Below are 24,180 nucleotides of genomic sequence, written 5' to 3' on the forward strand. Positions count from 1 at the left end.
GTAAAGACCATCGAGACTAGGAAGAAACTGCATCAACTAACGAGCAAAATAACCAGCTAACATCATAATGACAGGATCAAATTCACACATGACAATATTAACTTTAAAGGTAAATGGACTAAATGCTCCAATTAAAAGACACAGACTGGCAAATTGGATAAAGAGTCAAGACCCTTCAGTGTGCTGTATTCAGGAAACCCATCTCACGTGCAGAGACACACATAGGCTCAAAATAAAAGGATGGAGGAAGATCTACCAAGCAAATGGAAAACAAAAAAAGGCAGGGGTTGCAATCCTAGTCTCTGATAAAACAGACTTTAAACCAACAAAGATCAAAAGAGACAAAGAAGGCCATTACATAATGGTAAAGGGATCAATTCAACAAGAAGAGCTAACTATCCTAAATATATATGCACCCAATACAGGAGCACCCAGATTCATAAAGCAAGTCCTGAGTGACCTACAAAGAGACTTAGACTCCCACACATTAATAATGGGAGACTTTAACACCCCACTGTCAACATTAGACAGATCAACGAGACAGAAAGTCAACAAGGATACCCAGGAATTGAACTCAGCTCTGCACCAAGCGGACCTAATAGACATCTACAGAACTCTCCACCCCAAATCAACAGAATATACATTTTTTTCAGCACCACACCACACCTATTCCAAAATTGACCACATACTTGGAAGAAAAGCCCTCCTCAGCAAATGTAAAAGAACAGAAATTATAACAAACTATGTCTCAGACCACAGTGCAATCAAACTAGAACTCAGGATTAAGAATCTCACTCAAAACCGCTCAACTACGTGGAAACTGAACAACCTGCTCCTGAATGACTACTGGGTACATAACGAAATGAAGGCAGAAATAAAGATGTTCTTTGAAACCAACAAGAACAAAGACACAACATACCAGAATCTCAGGGACGCATTCAAAGCAGTGTGTAGAGGGAAATTTATAGCACTAAATGCCCACAAGAGAAAGCAGGAAAGATCCAAAATTGACACCCTAACATCACAATTAAAAGAACTAGAAAAGCAAGAGCAAACACATTCAAAAGCTAGCAGAAGGCAATAAATAACTAAAATCAGAGCAGAACTGAAGGAAATAGAGACACAAAAAACCCTTCAAAAAATTAATGAATCCAGGAGCTGGTTTTTTGAAAGGATCAACAAAATTGATAGACCGCTAGCAAGACTAATAAAGAAAAAAAGAGAGAAGAATCAAATAGACGCAATAAAAAATGATAAAGGGGATATCACCACCGATCCCACAGAAATACAAACTACCATCAGAGAATACTACAAACACCTCTATGCAAATAAACTAGAAAATCTAGAAGAAATGGATAAATTCCTCGACACATACACTCTCCCAAGACTAAACCAGGAAGAAGTTGAATCTCTGAATAGACCAATAACAGGATCTGAAATTGTGGCAATAATCAATAGCTTACCAACCAAAAAGAGTCCAGGACCAGATGGATTCACAGCCGAATTCTACCAGAGGTACAAGGAGGAACTGGTACCATTCTTTCTGAAACTATTCCAATCAATAGAAAAAGAGGGAATCCTCCCTAACTCATTTTATGAGGCCAGCATCATCCTGATACCAAAGCCGGGTAGAGACACAACAAAAAAAGAGAATTTTAGACCAATATCCTTGATGAACATTGATGCAAAAATCCTCAATAAAATACTGGCAAACCAAATCCAGCAGCACATCAAAAAGCTTATCCACCATGATCAAGTGGGCTTCATCCCTGGGATGCAAGGCTGGTTCAATATACGGAAATCAATAAATGTAATCCAGCATATAAACAGAGCCAAAGACAAAAACCACATGATTATCTCAATAGATGCAGAAAAGGCCTTTGACAAAATTCAACAACCCTTCATGCTAAAAACTCTCAATAAATTAGGTATTGATGGGACGTATCTCAAAATAATAAGAGCTATCTATGACAAACCCACAGCCAATATCATACTGAATGGGCCAAAACTGGAAGCATTCCCTTTGAAAACTGGCACAGACAGGGATGCCCTCTCTCACCACTCCTATTCAACATAGTGTTGGAAGTTCTGGCCAGGGCAATTAGGCAGGAGAAGGAAATAAAGGGTATTCAATTAGGAAAAGAGGAAGTCAAATTGTCCCTGTTTGCAGACGACATGATTGTATATCTAGAAAACCCCACTGTCTCAGCCCAAAAGCTCCTTAAGCTGATAAGCAACTTCAGCAAAGTCTCAGGATACAAAATCAATGTACAAAAATCACAAACATTCTTATACACCAACAACAGACAGAGAGCCAAATCATGAGTGAACTCCTATTCACAATTGCTAAAAAGAGAATAAAATACCTAGGAATCCAACTTACAAGGGATGTGAAGGACCTCTTCAGGGAGAACTACAAACCACTGCTCAAGGAAATAAAAGAGGATACAAACAAATGGAAGAACATTCCATGCGCATGGGTAGCAAGAATCAATATCGTGAAAATGGCCATACTGCCCAAGGTAATTTACAGATTCAATGCCATCCCCATCAAGCTACCAGTGACTTTCTTCACAGAATTGGAAAAAACTACCTGAAAGTTCATATGGAACCAAAAGAGAGCCTGCATCGCCAAGTCAATCCTAAGCCAAAAGAACAAAGCTGGAGGCATCACACTACCTGACTTCAAACTATACTACAAGGCTACAGTAACCAAAACAGGATGGTACTGGTACCAAAACAGAGATATAGATCAATGGAACAAAACAGAGCTCTCAGAAATAACGCCGCATATCTACAACTATCTGATCTTTGACAAACCTGAGAAAAACAAGCAATGGGGAAAGGATTCCCTATTTAATAAATGGTGCTGGGAAAACTGGCTAGCCATATGTAGAAAGCTGAAACTGGATCCCTTCCTTACAGCTTATACAAAAATCAATTCAAGATGGATTAAAGACTTAAACATTAGACCTAAAACCATAAAAACCCTAGAAGAAAACCTAGGCAATACCATTCAGGACATAGGCATGGGGAAGGACTTCATGTCTAAAACACCAAAAGCAATGGCAACAAAAGCCAAAATTGACAAATGGGATCTAATGAAACTCAAGAGCTTCTGCACAGCAAAAGAAACTACCATCAGAGTGAACAGGCAACCTACAAAATGGGAGAAAATTTTCGCAACCTACTCATCTGACAAAGGGCTAATATCCAGAATCTACAATGAACTCAAACAAATTTACAAGAAAAAAACAAACAACCCCATCGAAAAGTGGGCAAAGGACATGAACAGGCACTTCTCAAAAGAAGACATTTATGCAGCCAAAAAACACATGAAAAAATGCTCACCATCACTGGCCATCAGAGAAATGCAAAACAAAACCACAATGAGATACCATCTCACACCAGTTAGAATGGCAATCATTAAAAAGTCAGGAAACAACAGGTGCTGGAGAGGATGTGGAGAAATAGGAACACTTTTACACTATTGGTGGCACTGTAAACTAGTTCAACCATTGTGGAAGTCAGTGTGGCGATTCCTCAGGGATCTAGAACCAGAAATACCATTTGACCCAGCCATCCCATTACTTGGTATATACCCAAAGGACTATAAATCATGCTGCTATAAAGACACATGCACACATATGTTTATTGCGGCACTATTCACAATAGCAAAGACTTGGAACCAACCCAAATGTCCACAAATGATAGACTGGATTAAGAATATGTGGCACATATACACCATGGAATACTATGCAGCCATAAAAAATGATGAGTTCATGTCCTTTGTAGGGACATGGATGAAATTGGAAATCATCATTCTCAGTAAACTATCACAAGAACAAAAAACCAAACACCGCATATTCTCACTCATAGGTGGGAATTGAACAATGAGAACATATGGACACAGGAAGGGGAACATAACACTCTGCGGCCTGTTGTGGGGTGGGGGGAGGGGGGAGGGATAGCACTGGGAGATATACCTAATGCTGGATGACGAGTTAGTGGGTGCAGCGCACCAGCATGGCACATGTATACATATGTTACTAACCTGCACGTTGTGCACATGTACCCTAAAACTTAAAGTATAATAATAAAAATAAATAAAAATAAAAATAAAATAATGTATAGAAGAACAATCTCAATTTCAAAAATGCACCTACAATGTGTGAAACACCATATGAGTACTGAGGACATAATGAGAATTAGGATTATACACTGATTAGGGCAGTGTCCCAGGTGTGAAAGCTGGTTAATTTCTGCTCTAAAATGTGCTTTGAAAAAGGTTTGTTTATAGATTAAGACCACCCATTGCAGCATGGAGTTTTTATGCATTAAAAATTTTTTCCAAGCAATTCTGTTTATTCAGTGCTTGCTCTATGCCCTGCACACTGTTACATGCTGACAAAACAACAAAAATAAAATAGATCAGACACTGCTCCCCCTGTGGGTGGGTGCATTCCGGTGGGGAAAAGCTGAGAGGAGGACACCAACCCTCACCCAGAATCATCCTATCAGACCACACTCTCTCCAGCAAAAGAACACAGGGAGGCTTCTTCATTTAGAAGGAGCGAAGCCTTTCATTGAAAAATCTTTCTTGATCCTAGTAAGTGCCAACGTCTCTGTCTTTTAAAATTGTTTCCATTTTGACTGTGACCTTTGTATAATGAGGTGATCAAGCTGAGCTCTTCCAAGGTGAGGCCAAACCATTGCTGTCCCCCTGCCCCTCTGAGTAGCCCTGACTCCCTCCTCACTGAGCCCTCGTATTCTATTTGCTGTTTGGACTGCAGCTAAACATTGAGCAAGCGTCTTCATTAAACTGTCCAGTGATTCATAGCTGCCTTCCCCCCAGAGGTTACACATAATTCAGAACTCATCAGCACGCTGGGGACAGGCGGCCGAAATTGCTCCTTCTGGGATCTGCTACTTTGCATTTGCCCACTTGGGGTTTCATTTGCTACCCTGGGATCTAATTACTCTGCCCTGCTCTGCCCTTCTGAGGTTCCTGAGTCCCCAGCCCTCTCCTGAACAGCTAAGGAGCTCAGACCATGGCCTCTGTTGGCGTCAACAGTGGGGCCGCTCTGTGCAAAACTGTAGCCCCCCTGAGGTGAGGCTCCCTCTTGGAAGGAAACATCCTTCATGCAGGGGACCTACGGTGGCAAACCAGGAAGCAGTCTGTCCTTGATGGTCTGCAGTAGTAAGGCGAGAAGGGTCACAGCAAGAGACAGAGCCAAACTTGTCACTCCTGGCTCTGGAGTGTGGCGAGCAGAATACACCTCTCACACCCTCTTGTACTTTTCCTCTGAGCCTCCCTGCTGGCTGATTTCTGGTTTCGGCAGGCTGGGATTTGGCTGAGTCATGGAGAAGAGGACACCCTGAGTCACTGAGACCTAACTGGACAAACTGATTCATCACAAACTGTGGACCATTGGGACCTGAGTGTTGAAGAAGAAATAGATGGTGGAGGATGAGAGATTGTTCTCAGGTCTCCTTTACTTGGAGAGGAGAGGGGCCCCAGCCACAAACCAACCAGGAGCGGGGAAGACAGGTTGAGGTGGGTGTGTTTGACCAGAGCCTGTGGAGGGAGGTAAGTATGAGGCCAATAGCTCCTGAGATCCTTGCTAGGAAATCCATCAGGCCATGTGTCGCCAGTCTACACCGCACTGACCTCACAGAGGTCAGCTGATGCCCAGCAAATCATTCCCACCCCCACCTCAGCCCCTGTTTAGCCTCCACCCTCACCCTCACCCTCACCCTTCCTCACCAGCCCTATGCTCAGGCAGCCCCTGCTTCTTACCAGTGACCAATAATAATTAAATCAGCATCAGGCCTACCTCTATGGTAAGCACTCTACCTGGATGACCTGATTTAATCATTATAGTCACTCCATCGGGAAATGGTAACTACTAAGATTACTTTCATTCTACTGATGAAGAAAATGAAGCTCAGAGAGGTGAAGTCATTTTCTCAAAGCCACACAGCAAGTAGCTGCCCAAGCCAGAGCTTGACATAGGAGTGTGGCTGTGGTGATCATGCACTGGCTGATCTGTCTGGGGACAGCCCGCACTAACCTCCTCAATCCAGGAGAGTCTTAGCCATACTCTTGTTTTCCTGGACCACCTATAACTTCTAAGGTGCATGGGTGTTTGCACTGGTGAGGCCAAGTGTCTGCTTTTTCTTTAAAAATACCCCAAAGTAACAGAAATAGCACAGTCATCTTAGGACACTGGGCATCCCTCTTTTTCTGACCGCTTTGATGTACTTGGGTTGATGGAAACATATTGCCTCTAAGAAATTCCAGCTGTGTGACTAATAATGAAGGCAATAATAGCAGCTAACGTTCATTAGGCACCTGTTATGCTCGGCTCTGTGATGAGTGAAGCAGGGAATATTGTTCTCTCCACTTTAGAGGAGAAAAGAGGCACAGAGAGGTTGTGCCTTGCCCAAAGTCACACAGCTTGGGCAGTAGCAGAGCCAAGTCTTGGCCTCAGATCCCACTGAGCCCTTTAATCCCTGTGCTTCATGGTCTGGGCACGTCCTGAGTTGTGCTGGTCTCAGCCCCGCAGTCAGTCAGAGCATCTGATCAGGCATCATGCGTTGAAAACCTACTACAAGCCAGGCAAAGGAAGGGAAGAGGAGTCTCGGGCAGTGGTCTGCAGTGGAGGGTGGGTGAGGGTCCCAGGCCAGGAAGAACAGTCTCAGGGTGATGGGATATTTGAGTAAGGCACCAAAGGAACAAATGGTGTCAGGAAAAGGGGAAGTAATTTGGAGCAGGGACCTGAATGAGGACAGGGTTACCAAGGGCAAGATCTACCTTCGCTATTTTGTATTAACTCTGTTTAGGGCCTGTGGGGTTATTTGTAGGAGTGCCTCATAGGGACTTATTTGATGATGGGAGGTACCTGAATCAAGGAGCTGGGAAAGATAACTTTGAACTGCACTTAGCTACAAAGGCTGTGTGTGTGTGTCTGTGTGTCTGTCTGTGTGTGTGTGTGTGTGTCTGTGTGTTTTTAAGGAAGAGATATGGAGAATGCCAAATAACTATCTTTTTGTCATTTTTAACAATTGCAATGAGTTTTTGGGGTGACTATTTTGGTCTGTTTTGTCATCCCATATACATGCAGGGCTGCTATATTATAATTCTGCAGGCTTAAAGTGTTCTTTAAATTTCTGTTCAATTTACAGAGACAAGGTTTTGTCTTACACGTGCCCTCCAGCTTACTATGGCTCAGCTCATTCCCTTCCAATGAACCGAACTATTTTTAATTCATGGTAGCACTTTGCTACTCATTCAGCAATTTCATTTCAACATTCTCCAATGAATGTGTGCCCCTACTGGTGAGTTAATACTGCTGCTACAACTGTGATCCATTCCTGTAACATGAAGTTCAGGCACTTCTAACTTTTAGTTTTGCTTAAAATGAACTTGTAACTTCCTACCATCCCCATTTGGATGCTTGTATAACAGAAAGTGTTTTAGCTTTATTATTTGTGCATGAGACTCATTTTTGGCTTAGAAGTTCTACCTAGCTCAATGCCTGACCACAGAGGAACTTATGCCCCAATTTCCTCCCACACAGACCTTGATAAAAATTCTTCCTACTTAAACTCTTAGGATTTTTTTCGTTTCTTCTTAGTGTATTGATTTGGACTTAGGGGGTCTCAAGGAAAAATGGAATTTCCCTGGGATCTTAAGTTCCCTCTAGCCAGCTTGTAACAAAGCTGTTCAGGGCAGTGAGAGAACCCCACAGCTGGTTTTGGGGAACAATTTCAGCTTTACTCCCATTTCTATATCTCAATGAAAGGTGACAATATAATCAAGGAGAATCTCATCTTTACATTCGAAAAGAAAACCTATACTGCTGAAGTCATTTAAAAGGTTGTGGTTAATGGTCAGAAGCATTTGGGTTTATTCCCAGCTCAACAGATGTATGACCGTGAGCAAGCCTTTTTGGGCCTCAGTTTCCTCATTTGTAAATGGCGATATTAATAACATCCACCTGATACAACTAAAAAGAACTGGATAAGATCATGCATACACCAAGACCGATGCATAGTAAATACTAAATAAATGTTAGCTCTATTAGTCCCAGGGCACTGACCCAGAGAACGCTTGGCTCCAATACTTCTGCTATTAACTGTAATATTAATATATCAAGGTAGAGAGGAACTAGTATAGGCATATGCAGCAGCTAAAACTATGACCTTTTTTTGGTGGTTGCTATTATAAGGAATGATTGATTTTTATCACTAGGAACCCAAACTGTCTCTTCAGTAACATTTCTAATCATTTGCTAGAACATTCTTTGACAATCAGAGTTTTCTGCCTGTGCTGTTGAATGGTCCTCAAAATAGAACAGAAACATCAGATTGAGTCTATCTTGTGGTAAATGTGTAACATTACTATAATGTGACATCAGCCAATGCCATTGTCAATCAAACTCACCACACTGAATCCTTGGTGAGTTTGGAATTCACGTTCCCATCTTCTTCCAGGAAGATGTCCATTTGCAAATTGGCATCATTATCATGGGCAGAGAAATAATTGGTAACAATTCTTGCTGGTATTCCAAGGCATCGTAAAACTACAGGAAAGGACAGACCACAGCTAAACACATCACCAGCATTTAATAAACACAGAGTGAAAAAACCCTTCTTGTAGGGGACTTTCTTCCTGACCCAACATGAAAAGCCCTTTGGACATGTTATTCTCAAATGTTCCATGCTGGAAAAGGGTGGTCATTCAACCCCATGGGGGCGGTAGAGAGAAATCTTGCTGTGTGATCCTTCAGAATTGCAGCTGGTGTCAGGTGAAGCCAACTAGAGTAGAATCCCAACAGGGTTCTAATTGTTTCGTTTCTAAGCGTTTGATCATCAACGTAGTATTATTTTAGTCCCATGAATGGGACTATGTTCCCGAAAATACAATTTTAAAAACCCACTAATAGGAAGTTAGGAATTTACAGAGTAGGTCCTTGGTGGAATTTGCTGTCTTGGCCAGAATTTGCTCCTGTGACATGCATTGGTGGGTGACACCACAGATTCATTTTAGTTCATTTTAATAGATAACAAATTATCTGAATACCTTTCTTGCCATATGTACCTACTGATTAAACTTAATCCAAATGCCCTCCCTGCCTCCCAGGACACCAGACATCAGGGCTCATTGAAAATAATTCAGCTGACAATTTTAAGATTAATGACTTGGCTTGCCTTTTTATTTTCTCCTTCAGAATAGTTTAGCATTTTTAACCAAAGACTACCCACCTCCTTCAACAGAACAACCTTGGAAGTCCAAACTGGAGTCTGGTAGAGATTCAAGGGTCCCCCTCCTTAAAGGACTTGATCTTAATGCCCCAAACAACAGTGGCAGCTGCCACGGGCCTCCCGTTCCCATTTTCCTTTCTTGATTTTCAGCCCTGTTCACCCAGGGTCTTATCAATAAAACGATTGCCACTCTCATTCTGTTTCTGGCTGAACACTAATTCACATTATCCCAGACACGACTTGGTCAAGACTCTGCCTTACTCATAATTTCAAGAAAGTGAGGCTTGACTTTAGGGCACCTGTTCCTCCTTCCCCCAATTTCCATCTTCAGGTTTACTCTCGTTGTGACTTCCCCACTGTGTGTTTCTGCCTTTTCTTGATTTACCGCCAAAGCCTGTTTTCAGGCATAGATTGGATAACCTTTTTATGCCAAAGACACGAACGGATGTAAGGTGTTCACTATTTTATCTTGTTGTGAGCCGGAAGGAATTACACTGGGATAGTGAAATTGTAGGCATGGGGAGAACTTGGGTCCTTTCTGTCTTCTAAAATCATTTCACAAGAGTGGTTGCCTCTGTTGGGCATCTTTTACCTTGTCTTGGTTTGGGAGCCTCGAGGGATGGGATGACCTCCAACCTTTAACCTACCATGAAGTTCCGGCTTCTATCTGGAACTTCAGAGACCAGTGCTTCTAGGGGACTATACTTTTGATTTTCATTGCTCCCAAGAAATATGTATTCCTTCTTCCCTGGGTTATATTTAAATGGCTAAGAAAATAATCTTATCCTGTTTGATACTATGGGAAAATAAAACAAAACAAAACTCATGACTTTTTTTTTTTAAATTTAGATCACCAAGTCTTAGACTGTTGAGACTTTGAGCTAAAACAAATAGGTTTTGTAATCATTTTTTTAAATGACCTCCCTCCAGCCTCCAACCCCTCCCTTTGTTTTTGATTTAAAAAATGTTAGCTAGGTAAAAATTCTTTATTAATGAGCAGGCAGAAAGGACACCCCAACTTGAGCTTAATGTTTCTCCAAGGCTGTAGAAATGACTTGTGAATGAAAATCATTACCAGTGATGAAGACATACTGAAATAAATGTATTTTTAAAAATATTCACTGAATTAATTGTAATATCGTCTGGGTCTAGAGAGGCAAATGCCTCTGAAAAATGATGCATGACACTGAAGAGAATAATTCTGTTCTCATATGCTTTCCTCTACAGATTGGATGTTGGGTGGATTAAAAACCAGAGGGGAAACTGGAGAGGGAAAGATTGTTCATTATGTTCTGATCTCTAATTGCTCAGGGGCATTGAGAAATGTGGAAAAATGAATATGAGACCACCTGCTATAATACCTTCCATAACTGGGATAAAAATTAAGTGTATATATTTATAAAATTCTCAATAATAAATAAATACGCATATTTATACAACTTCTCAATGATAAATAAGCAATATATATCTTTTGTTATTTATTATTTTAGTTTTAACTGTTTTAGTTTTTTTAAAATGTGGTGGCTGAAAAGAAAATGGCTTTTTTCTCTATATTTTTACTGTAACCCTCTATTTCTTCGGGTGTTAAGTGATGGATTACACAGGATATAGTCTATCATTCTTTCTATAAAGATTCTGCAGTCAAAGAGAAACTATGAGCATATTTGGCCCACTACAATTTAATTATGCATTGACTACATCCCAGAATGGCTCACCCATAAATTCTATAGTGTCAACAGGGGCTGCTATGTCTCTTTGTTAGGTTATAGAAAAAATGTCTTAGAGTGAAGTTTCCTTTATATTAAAAAGAAATTACTCAGTTGGATACTTACATGTGTTAAAGACACCAGCAAAAACCCAGCATTGGCCATACCGGACTGGATTCTCAGAGCTCCGGTATTCCAATAGAATGTCAACGCTTCCAGTCCAGGCCGATGGGGGGACGCCATAGGCATAGATATTGTCCCAGGATCCAACGAGGACACCTTCGTCATCTTTGGCATTCACCTAAATGAGTCCGTGAGAAGTGAGAAGGAAGAAAGTTCATTTAGGTTTGTCTACTCCAGGCTATGCATGGCGCAAGCTATGGCTGCCATTGCCTTCTATATGTTGTGCCCAGTGAAAAGAGTTCCACTTCTGTTCGGTTTACCATTACATTGTTAGAAAAAAAAGATGCAAAAACTAAATACGCAAGAGGAGACCAAGTAACCAAGATTGCCTGTTAAATCGCATATTATAGCAAGGCAAAGTTGAACGGCAGATAGGAGGAGTGTGACACCTACCGGATTGGAAGAAGACATACATAGGACACTTGGTTTGGGCTAGGTTAGTGCTCAAGAATGATGTGGGGAAGAGAGGAAGAAGACCTACAAAAGATAAAATCTCAAGTAGGGAACTTGTCTTGGTGGAAAGATAACTCAAAACTCACAAATGAGAAATTAGTGGTCTAATGGATTTTGACTTTCATTTTGAGTGGTAGACTCTACCGACTTGAAAAAGTTAACAGATGTTGTCATTTTGAGTGGTAGACTCTAATGAATTGAAAAAGTTAACAGATGTTGTCTTGGAATCATTAAGAGTTAAGAAAATAGATTCCCATGGGATGCTTACAGAGGTTTTTTGTTTTTGTTTCTTTTTTCTTTTCTTTTCTCTCTCTCTCTCTCTTTCTTTCTAAGATAAGGTCTCGATCTGTCACACAGGCTGGAATGCAGTGGCACGATCATGGTTCACTGTAGCCTCGAACTCTTAGGCTCAAGTGATCCTCCCACTTCAGGCTCCCGAGTAGCTAGGACTACAGGTGTATGCTCGGCTAATTAAATTTATTTTTTTTGTAGAGCCAGGGTCTCCCTATGTTGCCCAGGCTAGTCTTGACCTCCTGGGCTCAAGTGATTCTCCTGCCTCAGCCTTCCAAAGAGTTGGAATTACAGGCATAAGTCACCATGCCTGGCCCAGAGCTTCTTTTTCCCTTTGTAAAATTCACTTAAGTATTCTTTCTTATGATTGTTTAAACAGATTAAAGTTTTAGAGTTTTCTTAGAAGGTATTTCTGTTTCCATAAAGAACCTGGGATGTTATGGTTTAAATATGGAAGAGACTTTAGCAGAGAAAGGCAATCTTGAATATCTGGATAAAACTTGCCACACCTTCAGACTACATTCATCTTGTAGCAGCAGACCTAAAGTGCAGGAGCAAAGACCTTTTGTGTTTACATAGTAAAACAAAGGCCAAGAGGTAACAGTTTCAAGGCATCTTGCCAGTTTTTTTCTGGGCACTGCTGAATCTACCTCTCTTGGTGTAACGTTGATCATGTTTAATTACAGTCAGAAGAGTTTAGGTGGGGAGTCCAGGAGCTTTTCCAAAAACTGGTGCCATTTCAACAATGTTTACATTGACATTACAATGGTGTGGAGCCTTGCTACTTGAGGCATTCATGGATCAGCAATATTGGCATTCCCTGGGAGCTTGTTAGGAATTCAGAATCTGAGGCCCCTCCCAGAACTCTTGAATAAGAATTTGCATTTTAACAAGATCACTGGGTGATTTGTGTGCACATTCGTTTAGAAGCACAGGTCTGAGTTATAATGCAAAGACATTAGTAAGCAATGTGAAACATATGATTGAAGCATGTGTGTTTTGATTATGAAAATCACAGAAGAGACATTAAAACATGGTGAGCTTTTATGTGTTTGCTGCCTCACCAACTAACAACTCAGCCTCATCACCTGCCTAGACCCCTCTTTTTGACTTGCTGTGTCTAGTTGTAGAGAAGTCTGTCTTCCCCGCTGGTTTATCAATTCATTGGGAACAAAGAAAAAAAATCTCCGTCTTTCTGAGTTTTACCAAGTGTTAGCAAAGACTGGATGCTCTGTAGTTGTTCAATAATCACTTATATAGTCAACAAACATATAGGAAATGTATATTTGAGTAAGAATAAGACCTTATGCCTGGAGAGAGATGGTCAAGAAACCAATCAAGTGGATGTAAAGATTACTGGTATTAAGACAGAAAAATGTAGAGGTAGAGTGGGAACCTGAGGAAGGGAGTTATCAGTTAGATTGGAGGGTGGTGGTGGTGATGCTGGGGGGCCTAATAGAGGGAGATGACAGGCAAACTGGCCAGAAAAGGCCATCTACATAGTGGAAACAGTTTTAATAAATGTGTAGTGTCATGAAACAATATGGCAGGCTCTGGGACCTTCTAGGAGCTCTGCATGGGTATTATGTAAGTAGGCAATACCGAACGAAATAAAAAAAATACTAGAAGAAAACATGCAAGATGTGCAAGCATCTTTTACTGTGAATGACAAAGCCTTCACTGAAATTTGAGATTTACTCTAGCACTGAGTGGTATTTCCCAAGGAGGGTCCCTTCTGGGGAGTGTTGTCTAGAAGATCACTATTCAATTTGGTTTAGACATGCTATCTTCCCCCTTTAACTCTGTGTCCAGTCAGGTTAAAGTGAAGAAGAACTTTATGAACCACACAGTTAATTTGTTCAATGTAGGAAAAAATGAACTCTTTGGGGGTCTCTAAAAGACCTTGCTCAGCTAATTGCAAACTCATGCCTTTGATATAAATTTTGACTTTAGCTTATAGAGTCATGAAATGACTGGAGTGCAGCAGGCTTTAGCCAAACATTATGGCTATATTAAAGATCAGTACTTCTCCTTGCAGTTGGATTGATTATTTAAAAATCTGTATCCATTATCGTGAAGATTGAAGAATGCCTTGGTAGGCTATGATGTGGTTTGGTCTTTGTGGGTAGGTAGGTTTAGCTTTGAACTCACATTATCATTCCCTTATCACTGAGACATAAAATAGGCTCTATGAATTTCAGAGGTAAAGGCTCCTAAACTGTGGTCCTGATAACTGATTTTCAAACAGATAGCCATTAATTACAAGGGCTATTTATAGCATAGGGCTGAACTCAATCAGCTAAGGGGAAGAGTAAGGAAAAAAAGCTCTGTCCTCTACAGACCTTTTAATTGTTAATGCTGAGCTGTTCCCCTGTTGCTAGATAAATCACAACCCTCATTTATTAGCATTTGGGCAGATTAGCTACTGTTTTCTAATTAGAACATTGATTTCTAGGGAGCTCAGGCCATGAAAGAGGTAAGTTTTTAGTGACAGATGTAAAGGGTTAAAATAATATCTCCCCTCATAAGCAACAAGATATGTTTGGAGGACATGTTTGTCATTTTTCATGCCACAGTTGGCTGTTTTAACACCCTCTCATGATCTCAGGGTTTGACCAGTGGCAGAATAAAGTGTCTTGGTCTTGAGTCACTGGTGGTCAAGTAGACAATACAAGTCCAGGACTACGTACAGGAGGCATTATTCAACTTCATTAAGGCTACACTAAATTGCCCTCCCATAATACCTACAAAATTAGAAAAAAATTTCAAAAACCCCTAAAAGTCATTATCAGCATAATGCAATAAACTTCAAAACATGGTCCCAACAAAACATGAGGACTATGGAGTAAAGCAGAGAGGCAACATGGCTCAGCTCCTAACCTTAACCATCTTACCAGCTAGTCAACAAAAACCTGAGATTTCTAATTTATATTTTAAATTCTAGAAAGTAATAAATATAATCAAAATGCTGATCTTTTTGGCCAGGCATGTAATCCCAGCCCTTTGAGAGGATGAGGCAGATAGATTGCTTGAGGTCAGGAATTCAAGACCAGCCTGGCCAACATGGTGAAACCCCATCTCTACTAAAAATACAAAAACTAGCTGGGCATAGTGGCACATGCCTGTAGTCCCCGCTACTCTGGAGGCTGAGGCAGGAGAATCGCTTGAACCGGGGAGGCAGAGGTTGCAGTGAGCTGATTGTACCACTGCACTCCAGCCTGGGCAACAGAGTGAGATCCTGTCTCAAAAAAAAAAAAAAAAAAAAAAGCTGATCTTTTTATTGTTCTGAACAGAATGGTGGAAACACCTGCTGTGGAGAAACGAGTGAAAAAGTATCTGCACCTTAAAAGAGGTAGAGATTCTGGAACACAATTGGGAAATAATACAAGCTGAGCGTATCCCCCAATGGAACTGAGATATGCCTCCAGTTGTGGGGGTGGGTTCTGGAGTGACAGATGTAGGAGAATCTTAAGGGAAAGAGCAGACCCTAAGCATGATACCAAAGATTGTTCATCTTCTAATACTGTAGTCCTCACTCCAATCTCTTGCAGAGTACTGAAGAGTAGATAGAATGTGGTACATTGGCCTCAAATTGTAGTTCAGAAGTGAGATCAAACTAACCTTAGATTGAGAAGAATTTCATTTATTACAGCAAATAGAACGTCTAGAGACAAGAATGATGCAAGTTTGAGCATAAATATAGGGAAAAGAAACTGCATGCAGAGGAAGAGACAGAAAGAGAGAGAGGGAGAGATCATGAAAAAATATACATAGAAGAAAACGAAATTAAGGAGCATAAGTCATTTTTCTCACAACCTTTTAGGAGATCACAGACCAAGGCAACAAATTGAGGACCAAATCATACCATTACAGAGCTAATAATAAATTATAAACTGCAAGAAACAGAATACATATTATTAAAAATAAAAATTAATGACATAGAAGAAAACTTGAGATATCAAAGAAAATACTAATAAAAAACCAAAGTGATGAATTATTTAGAGAGATTCTAATAGTACCATAGTTATGGAAAACAAAGATGATACAACATAAGGATGATTAGTGTCCTTAAAATAGAGAACCCAAGGATTTGGATCATCATGGTGGATGGGAGGCAGGACTGGATTGCAGCTCTGGACAGAGCAGCATGTGGAGGCTCGTGCTGTAAATTTTAGATCCAGGTCGACTGCAAGAACAAACCAGCAATCCTGAGAGGACCACAGACTCTCTGAAGGAAGCAGACTGCTTCTGCAGGACCCGAGAGACCCCCCCAAATACTGTGAGTGTCCCAACTATGCAAGTGGGAAAGGGAGACCCTCCTCTCCCGAACACAAACCTCCACTGGAGAAGCTGAAGGTCTGTTTGTGGGAGAAGTTTCCGACTTCACCTGGTGCTGGGTCAACTTGGAGAGCTGAGGGAAATACAGGGGTAGAGGAAGCAGCAGAAAGGCCCTGGGAGCTTGCTAGGTCCCCTAGCAGGCCATCCCTGCCTGGCACCACAGAGATCCATCAGAAAGGTGGACAGAGGAGCAGAGGATAAAACTCCACATGGAGAAGGAAATCTCTAGCTGAACTTTGTAGCAATTTGAATGGGGTGAGAAGCCTCCTGGCCAAAACTTGGGGGAGGGTGCAAATCCGGTGTGCAGACTCCACAGGTGTGGAAGAACCAAACCCTTTTCTTTTGCAGCTGGGAGGTGGGTAGACCGGGTCAGGTTTTCAAGGCCATCTTGCCCTCTGCCTGGAAATGGACTTAGGGCTGTTGAGGGGGGCACGGTGGGAGTGAGACTGGCCCTTTGGTTTGCATGGCAGCTGGGTGACTCCTGTGACTGCCAGCTTCCCCCAACTTCCCTGACAACCTGCATGACTCAGCAGAGGCAGCCATAATCCTCTTAGGTACACAGCTCCAGTGACCTAGAAATCTCACCCCCATCCCCCACAGCAGCTGCAGCAAGACCTGCCCAAGGAGAGTCTGACCTCAGACACGCCTAGCCCAGCCCCCAGTTGATGGTCCTTTCCTACCTACCCTGCTAGTGGAAGACAAAGGGCATATAATCTTGGGAGTTCTGGGGCCCTGCCCACCACTGGTTCCTCCCCATACTACCACAGCTACTGCTCTCTGGAAAGCACCACCTCCTGGCAGGGAGCCAACCAGCACAAAAATAGAGCATTAAACACCAAAGCTAAGAACCCTAACAGTGTCCATTGTACCCCCTGCCACCTCCACCGGAATAGGCGCTATTCCGGTGGCTGAGAGGGACCCAGAGATGGCTCACATCACAGGATTCTGTGCAGACAATGCCCAGTGTCACTCCAGAGCTGGGTAGACTTGCTGGGTGGGTAGACCCAGAAGAGAGACAATCACTGCAATTTGGCTCACAGGAAGCCACATCCATAGGAAAAGGGGGAGAGTACTACATCAAGGGAACATCCCATGGGACAAAATAATCTGAACAACAGCCTTCAGCCCTAGACCTTCCCTCTGACAGAGCCTACCCAGATGAGAAGGAACTGTAATATGACAAAACAAGGCTCTTCAACACCCCCCAAAAATCACACTAGTTCACCAGCAATGGATCCAAACAAAGAAGAAATCCCTGATTTACCTGAAAAAGAATTAAGGAGGTTAGTTATTAAGCCAAACAGGGAGGGACCAGAGAAAAGTGAAGCCCAATGCAAGGAAATCCAAAGAATAATACAAGAAGTGAAGGGAGAAATATTCAAGGAAATAGATAGCTTAAAGAAAAAACAAGCAAAAATTCAGGAAACTTTGCACACACTTTTACGAATGCGAAATGCTCTGGAAAGTCTCAGCAATAGAATTGAACATGTAGAAGAAAAAAATTCAGAGCTCAAAGACAAGTTCTTTGAATTAACCCAGTCCAAAAAGACAAAGGAAAAGGAATAAGAAAATATGAACAAAGCCACCAAGAAGTCTGGGATTATGTTAAATGACCAAAGCTAAGAATAATCGGTGTTCCTGAGGAAGAAGAGAATTCTGAAAGCTTGGAAAATGTATTTGGGGTAATAATTGAGGAATACTTCCCCGGCCTTGCTAGAGACCTAGACATCCAAATACAAGAAGCACAAACAACACCCAGGAAATTCATTGCAGAAAGATCTTTGCCTAGGCACATTGTCATTAGGTTATCCAAAGTTAAGACAAAGAAAAGAATCTTAAGAGCTGTGAGACAGAAGCATCAGGTAACCTATAAAAGAAAACCTATCAGATGAACAGCAAATTTCTCAGCAGAAACCCTACAATCTAGAAGGGATTGGAACCCTATCTTCAGCCTCTTCAAACAAAACAATTATCAGCCAAGAATTTTGTATCCAGCGAAACTAAGCATCATATATGAAAGAAAGATACAGCCTTTTTCAGACAAACAAATGCTGAGATAATTCACCATTACCAAGCCACCACTACAAGAACTGCTAAAAGGAGCTCTAAATCTTGAAGCAAATCCTGGAAACACATCAAAACAGAACTTCTTTAAAGCATAAATCACACAGGACCTATGAAACAAAAATACAAGTTAAAAAGCAAAAACAAAAAACAAAAAAACCAAAGTACACAGGCAACAAAGAGCATGATGAATGTAATGGTACCTCACATTTCAACACTAACATTGAATGTAAATGGCCTAAATGCTATATTTAAAAGATACAGAACTGAAGAATGGATAAGAACTCACCAACCAACTGTCTGCTGCCTTCAGGAAACTCACCTAACACATAAGGACTCACATAAACTTAAAGTAAAGGTGTGGAAAAAGGTATTTCATGCAAATGGACACCAAAAGCGAGCAGGGGTAGCTATTCTTATATCAGACAAAACAAACTTTAAAGCAACAGCAGTTAAAAGAGACAAAGAGGGACATTATATAATGGTAAAAGGCCTTGTCCAACAGGAAAATATCACAATCCTAAACAAATGTGCACTGAACACTCAAGTTCCCAAATTTATAAAACAATAACAAATAGACCTAAGAAATGAGATAGACAGTAAGACAATAGTAGTGGAGGACTTCAGTACTCCACTGACAGCACTAGACAGGTCATCAAGACAGAAAGTCAACAAAGAAACAATAGATTTAAACTATACCTTGGAACAAATGGACTTAACAGATATATACAGAACATTTTATCCAACAACCACAGAACACACATTCTAATCAACAGTGCATAAAACTTTCTCCAAGATAGACCATATGATAAGCCATAAAATGTGCTTCAATAAATGTAAGAAAATTGGAATTATATCAAGCCATCTCTCAGACCACACAGAAATAAAACTGGAAAGCAACTCTAAAAGAAACCTTCAAAACCATGCAAATACATGGAAATTAAGTAACCTGCTCCTGAATGAGCATTGGGTCAAAAACAAAATCAAGATGAAAATTAAAAAATTCTTTGAACTGAATGACAATAATGACACAACTTATCAAAGCCTCTGGGATACAGCAAAGGCAGTGCTAGGAGGAAAGTTCATAGACCTAAAGGCCTACAGAAAAAAGACCAAAGGAGCGCAAACTGACATTCTAAGGTTACACCTCAAGGAACTGGAGAAACAAGAACAAACAAAACCCTAACCCAGCAGGAGAAAAGAAATAACCAAGATCAGAGCAGAACTAAACAAAATTGAAACAAACAAAAATACAAAAGATAAATGAAACAAAAAGCTGGTTATTTAAAAAGATAAATAAAATTGATAGATCATTAGCAAAATTAACCAAAAAGAGAGAAAATCCAAATAACCTCACTAAGAAATGAAACAGGAGATATTACAACTGACACCACTGAAATACAAAAGATCATTCAAGGCTACTATGAACACCTTAATGCACATAAACTATAAAATCTAGAAAAGACAGATAAATTCCTGGAAAAATACAACCCTCCTAGCTTAAGTCAGGAAGAATTAGATATCCTGAACAGACCAATAACAAGCAGTGAGATTGAAATGGTAATTAAAAACTTATCAACAAAAAAATGTCCAGGAACAGACGGATTCACAGGAGAATTCTACCAGACATTCAAGGAAGAATTGCTACCAATCCTTTTGACACTATTCCACAAGATAGAGAAAGAAGGAACCCTCCCAAATTCATTCTATGAAGCCAGCATCACCCTAATACAAAAACCAGGAAAGGATATAACCAAAAAAGGAAACTACAGACCAATATCCTTGATGAACACAGATGCTAAAATCTTTCACAAAATACTAGCTAACTGAATCCAACAACATATCAAAAAGATAATCCGCCATGATCAAGTGGGTTTCATAACAGGAATGTGGACATGGTTTAACATACACAAGTCAATAAATGTGATGCACCATATAAACAGAATTAAAAACAAAAATCACATGATCATCTCAATAGATTCAGAAAAAGCATTCAACAAAATCCAACATTGCTTTATCATTAAAACTCTCAGCAAAATCAGCATACAAGGGACATACCTTAATGTAATAAAAGCCATCTATGACAAACCCACAGCCAACATAATACTGAATGAGGAAATGTTGAAAGCCATTTCCTCTGAGAACTGGAATAAGACAAGGAGTCCCACTGTCACCACTCCTCTTCAACATAGTACTGGAAGTCCTAGCCAGAGCAATAAGTTAAGAGAAAGAAATAAAGGACATCCAAATAGGTAAAGAGGAAGTCAAACTGTCACTGTTTGCTGACGATATGATTGTTTACCTTGAAAACCCCAAGGACTCCTCCAGAAAGCTCCTAGGACTGATAAAAGAATTCAGCAAAGTTTCTGGATACAAGATTAATGTACACAAATCATTAGCTCTTCTCTACATCAACAGTGACCAAGTGGAGCATCAAATCAAGCATTCAGCCCCCTTTTACACACATTGTCGAACATGAAGTACTTCAGGGAATATGGTACCTATCATAACCAAACTATTAATACTTGAAAGTGATATCAAAATAATTAGGGGCTGAGTCAAACAAAGAACCCAGGAACAGAGACTCTGTGATAACAGATTCAGGGGTGAGAAAACTCTATATAAGTTAAGCATCTTTGGGATTTACAGTTACAGATGAATTTTAAGACTTGATAATATAAAAACAATAATCATCCTAAGAAAAAAGATAGGAGAAAGAGGAGAGGAACAGTGAAAATGGTAATGTTTTAGTGTGTGGGTCTCTCAGTTAATTGATACCATCTAACATTAAAGTATAATTTAAAAGTACATAATTACTTTATTCTTTTAATGGTTTTTATAATTTTTAATAACCTTAGGAAAACCTGTTAAGAAATGATATCTCTTGTAGTGAAGAAATATTTATTTGAAGTTTAATAATTTCTTCTGTTGCAATTTAATTTCTTTCCTATTAAAGTAAAATTCAATAAAACTTAAAATTAAATAGAATTTGGGTACAATTACATGTAATACTTTCAAATTAAGTAGCATGACACCATTTGGTATAAATACAAACAGATCAATGTGACACAATAGAGAACACAGAAATAGACTCACACAAATACAGTTAACTAATTTGTGATAAAGTTGCAAAGGAAATTTTATGGATAAAGGATAATCATTTCAAAAAATGAGGTGGCATCAATTGGATATTCATATGCAAAAATACGAGCTTTGATTCATACCTTGCACCATATGTAAAAATGAACTCAAAATGAACCTTAGACCTAAATATAAAACCTAGGGTTATAAAACTTCTAAAAGGAAGCAAAGGAGAAAATTGTGTGATCTTAGGTTAGGCAGTTTCCTTAGATAAAATATGAAAAGCATGATCCATAAAAAAATTTGTAAATCAGACTTCATAAAAATTAAGAACCTTTGCTCTTTGAAAGGCCCTGTGAAGAGAATGAAAAAATAAAACTAGAGTGGAAGAAGATATTTGTAAATCCTTTATCTGATTAAAAAGAAAAAACTTGTATCCAGAATATGTAAAGAACCCTTGAAACTCAATAGTAAGAAAACAAACACAACCTTAAAACAAGAGAAAAATATTGGAACAGATATTCCATCAAAGAAAATACGTGGGTGGCCAATCACAACAAAAGATGCTCAGTATCATCAGCCATTAAGGAAATGCAAATCAAAACCACAGCAAGGTAACATTGGACATCTATTTAAAAGTCTAAGATTAAAAAGACTGATCATATGAAGTGTCCGGGAGGATATGCAACACTTTAGACTCTCATATGCTGCTGGTGGGAATGTAAAATGCCCATCCAATTTAGGAAACAGTTTGGTAGTTTCTTAAAAATTAAACCTATGTTTAGCTTATGACCCAGCCACCTCACTCCTAGGTATTTACCTAAGAGAAATAAAAGCTTACGTCTATACAAAGACTTTTACTAAAGTCTTCCAAGCTAAAGTTTCTGGCTTTATTTGTAAGAGGCAAAAACGGAAAATGGCCTAAATGTCCATCCACAAGTAAATACATGGGCAAATAGTGATTCATCCATACAATGAAACACTACTACTCAGCAATAAAGAGGAATGAACTACTGAAACAAAAAACAGCATGGATGAAGCTCAGAATACAGTAAGGAAGCATAAAAGAAGCCTCACAAGGAGTACATACTGCATGATTATATTTGTGTAAAAGTCTAGAAAACACAAATCAATGTATAATGACAGAAGGCTGAGCAGTGATGGGGGATGGTACACAAAGCAGGGAGTGGTTTAAGGAAGAAATTACAATAAGGAAACTTCTGGGGGCAATGGATATATTCATTATTTTGATTTTAGTGTTCGTTTCATGGGTACATATACATGTCAACATTATCCAATTGTACATTAAGTATGCACATTTTATTGTCAACTATATCTCAATAAAGCTGTGAAAATCAATGAAGACTTTTAAATTAAACCAGCATCTATAGTATAATATTATCTATGATTTTAAAATTATTTCTCCTGTATAATTCAAAGAATAGAAATAGCCCTAAAACATGACCCGTACTGGACTTCTGTTTAATTTTGGTCATTGGAATATGAGCAGATTCTAACTTGATACTGAAAAATAAAGAAATGTGACATTTCTTGATTCTTCAATTTCCTGTAGCGCAGACCTTTACATTTTGTATAGTTACTATTTCTTTCTGCTTTTTAAAAAAATATGCAAGGGTACTTTTCTCCTCTGTGTGCATTTTATATGGCTATGATGAAATGACTTTTCTCTGTTATAAACCTATCATATTCCGTTAAATTTCATTGTTAAAAGTTATGTCCTCATAAAGGCTAGGATTTCCATAACTCTTTTAGAAAATAGTCTTATACCTAATTTTGTCCACAATGGTTTCTCAAAGACCATTGGAAATGAATTTTGATGTTGGGTAACACGAACTAACATCAAAGGCCTAGCGTTAAGTTTGGCAAGGAGAAGAATTATTTCCTGTAGAAAATCGTTTCCAGGTTTTGTGAACCACAAATCCCCAGCTACAGTGTGGTGGTGACCAGACTTAATCACAGGTGGAAGTGGTGTGGTGGATGTCAAATTGTGCTTCATGACATGCTAGGGTTTTGCAAAAGAAACTCAGTAGTTACGGTGTTGTGGGGTGGGGCAGGTGAGAATTGAATGTTGATAGTCAAGGCTGCAGTCACCACCTTTCTTTAATAATAGCTGCTCTGCTTTTTCTCTTTTATGTATTTGGATTCAATTGCTGTTTGAAAAAATTGTTCTAAAAAATAAAATTTAAAAGGTCACAGTTCTGGGAATGTAGAGATCTGTTTTTGTGCCTGCTCCGCCATTTGCCAAGTTATGTTGTAAGGATAGGAAGGGAGATGAGCTGAAGGTCAAGTACTCAGGTTATTCCATGGGCAGGCATCCCAGAAAATGCACAAGAAAAAAGAAATAGGGTAGCAGCAATTCTATTTCTTCCCTTGCCTGGCTCTTCATCCTTGATTTTCTTCTGGGCTTTTATGGCACTTACAACAGCCAGGGTCACATACTTGGTCGAAAGGAAAGGAAAATCATCTACCATGTCTTTGGTTTTTCATAGTGGTTTGCTTAATAACAAGCTGTTTTCTGCCTTGTTGTTGCTGGAAATGTTATTCTCGCTCCCTGGAATGTCCATCCACACTCAAACCTCTTCTTTACCTGGTGCCCTATTGATCCTTTAAAACTCAGCTGGTTTCACCCTGGGAATCTTTACTTATCACCTTGATTTGGATGTCCTTACTCTTTGATCACATAGTACTCTTTGCATAGTACTATCCATTTATCACATTGTATTGTGTCATTGGTTAGACTGTCCTTGTTCTTTTCCCAGACTTTATGTTCACA

General features: G+C 39.7%; 1 protein-coding gene across 1 annotated transcript in view, besides 1 other annotated feature; it reads right to left on the reverse strand.

Annotated features, from left to right (window-relative positions):
• The window catches only part of F13A1 (coagulation factor XIII A chain), a 176,579-nt gene that overhangs the window by 69,500 nt on the left and 82,899 nt on the right, over window positions 1-24,180 (reverse strand). The window contains exons 7-8 of the mRNA NM_000129.4: window positions 11,103-11,277; window positions 8,450-8,588 (exon numbers count right to left, since the gene is read on the reverse strand). Of these exons, the coding sequence (NP_000120.2) occupies window positions 8,450-8,588; window positions 11,103-11,277 (314 nt within the window). The remainder of the gene's footprint in view (window positions 1-8,449; window positions 8,589-11,102; window positions 11,278-24,180) is intronic.
• Window positions 4,815-6,014: an enhancer, noted in NCBI's record as "CDK7 strongly-dependent group 2 enhancer chr6:6218631-6219830 (GRCh37/hg19 assembly coordinates)". NCBI's record gives its function as "activates an origin of replication core promoter dependent on BRD2, BRD4, P300/CBP, MED14 and CDK7 cofactors, with strong dependence on CDK7, by STARR-seq in HCT116 cells {active_cell/tissue: HCT116}" and the evidence as "EXISTENCE:reporter gene assay evidence [ECO:0000049][PMID:35650434]".

This window comes from Homo sapiens, chromosome 6 (assembly GCF_000001405.40).
Source record: "Homo sapiens chromosome 6, GRCh38.p14 Primary Assembly".
Taxonomy (NCBI): Eukaryota; Metazoa; Chordata; class Mammalia; order Primates; family Hominidae; genus Homo; species Homo sapiens.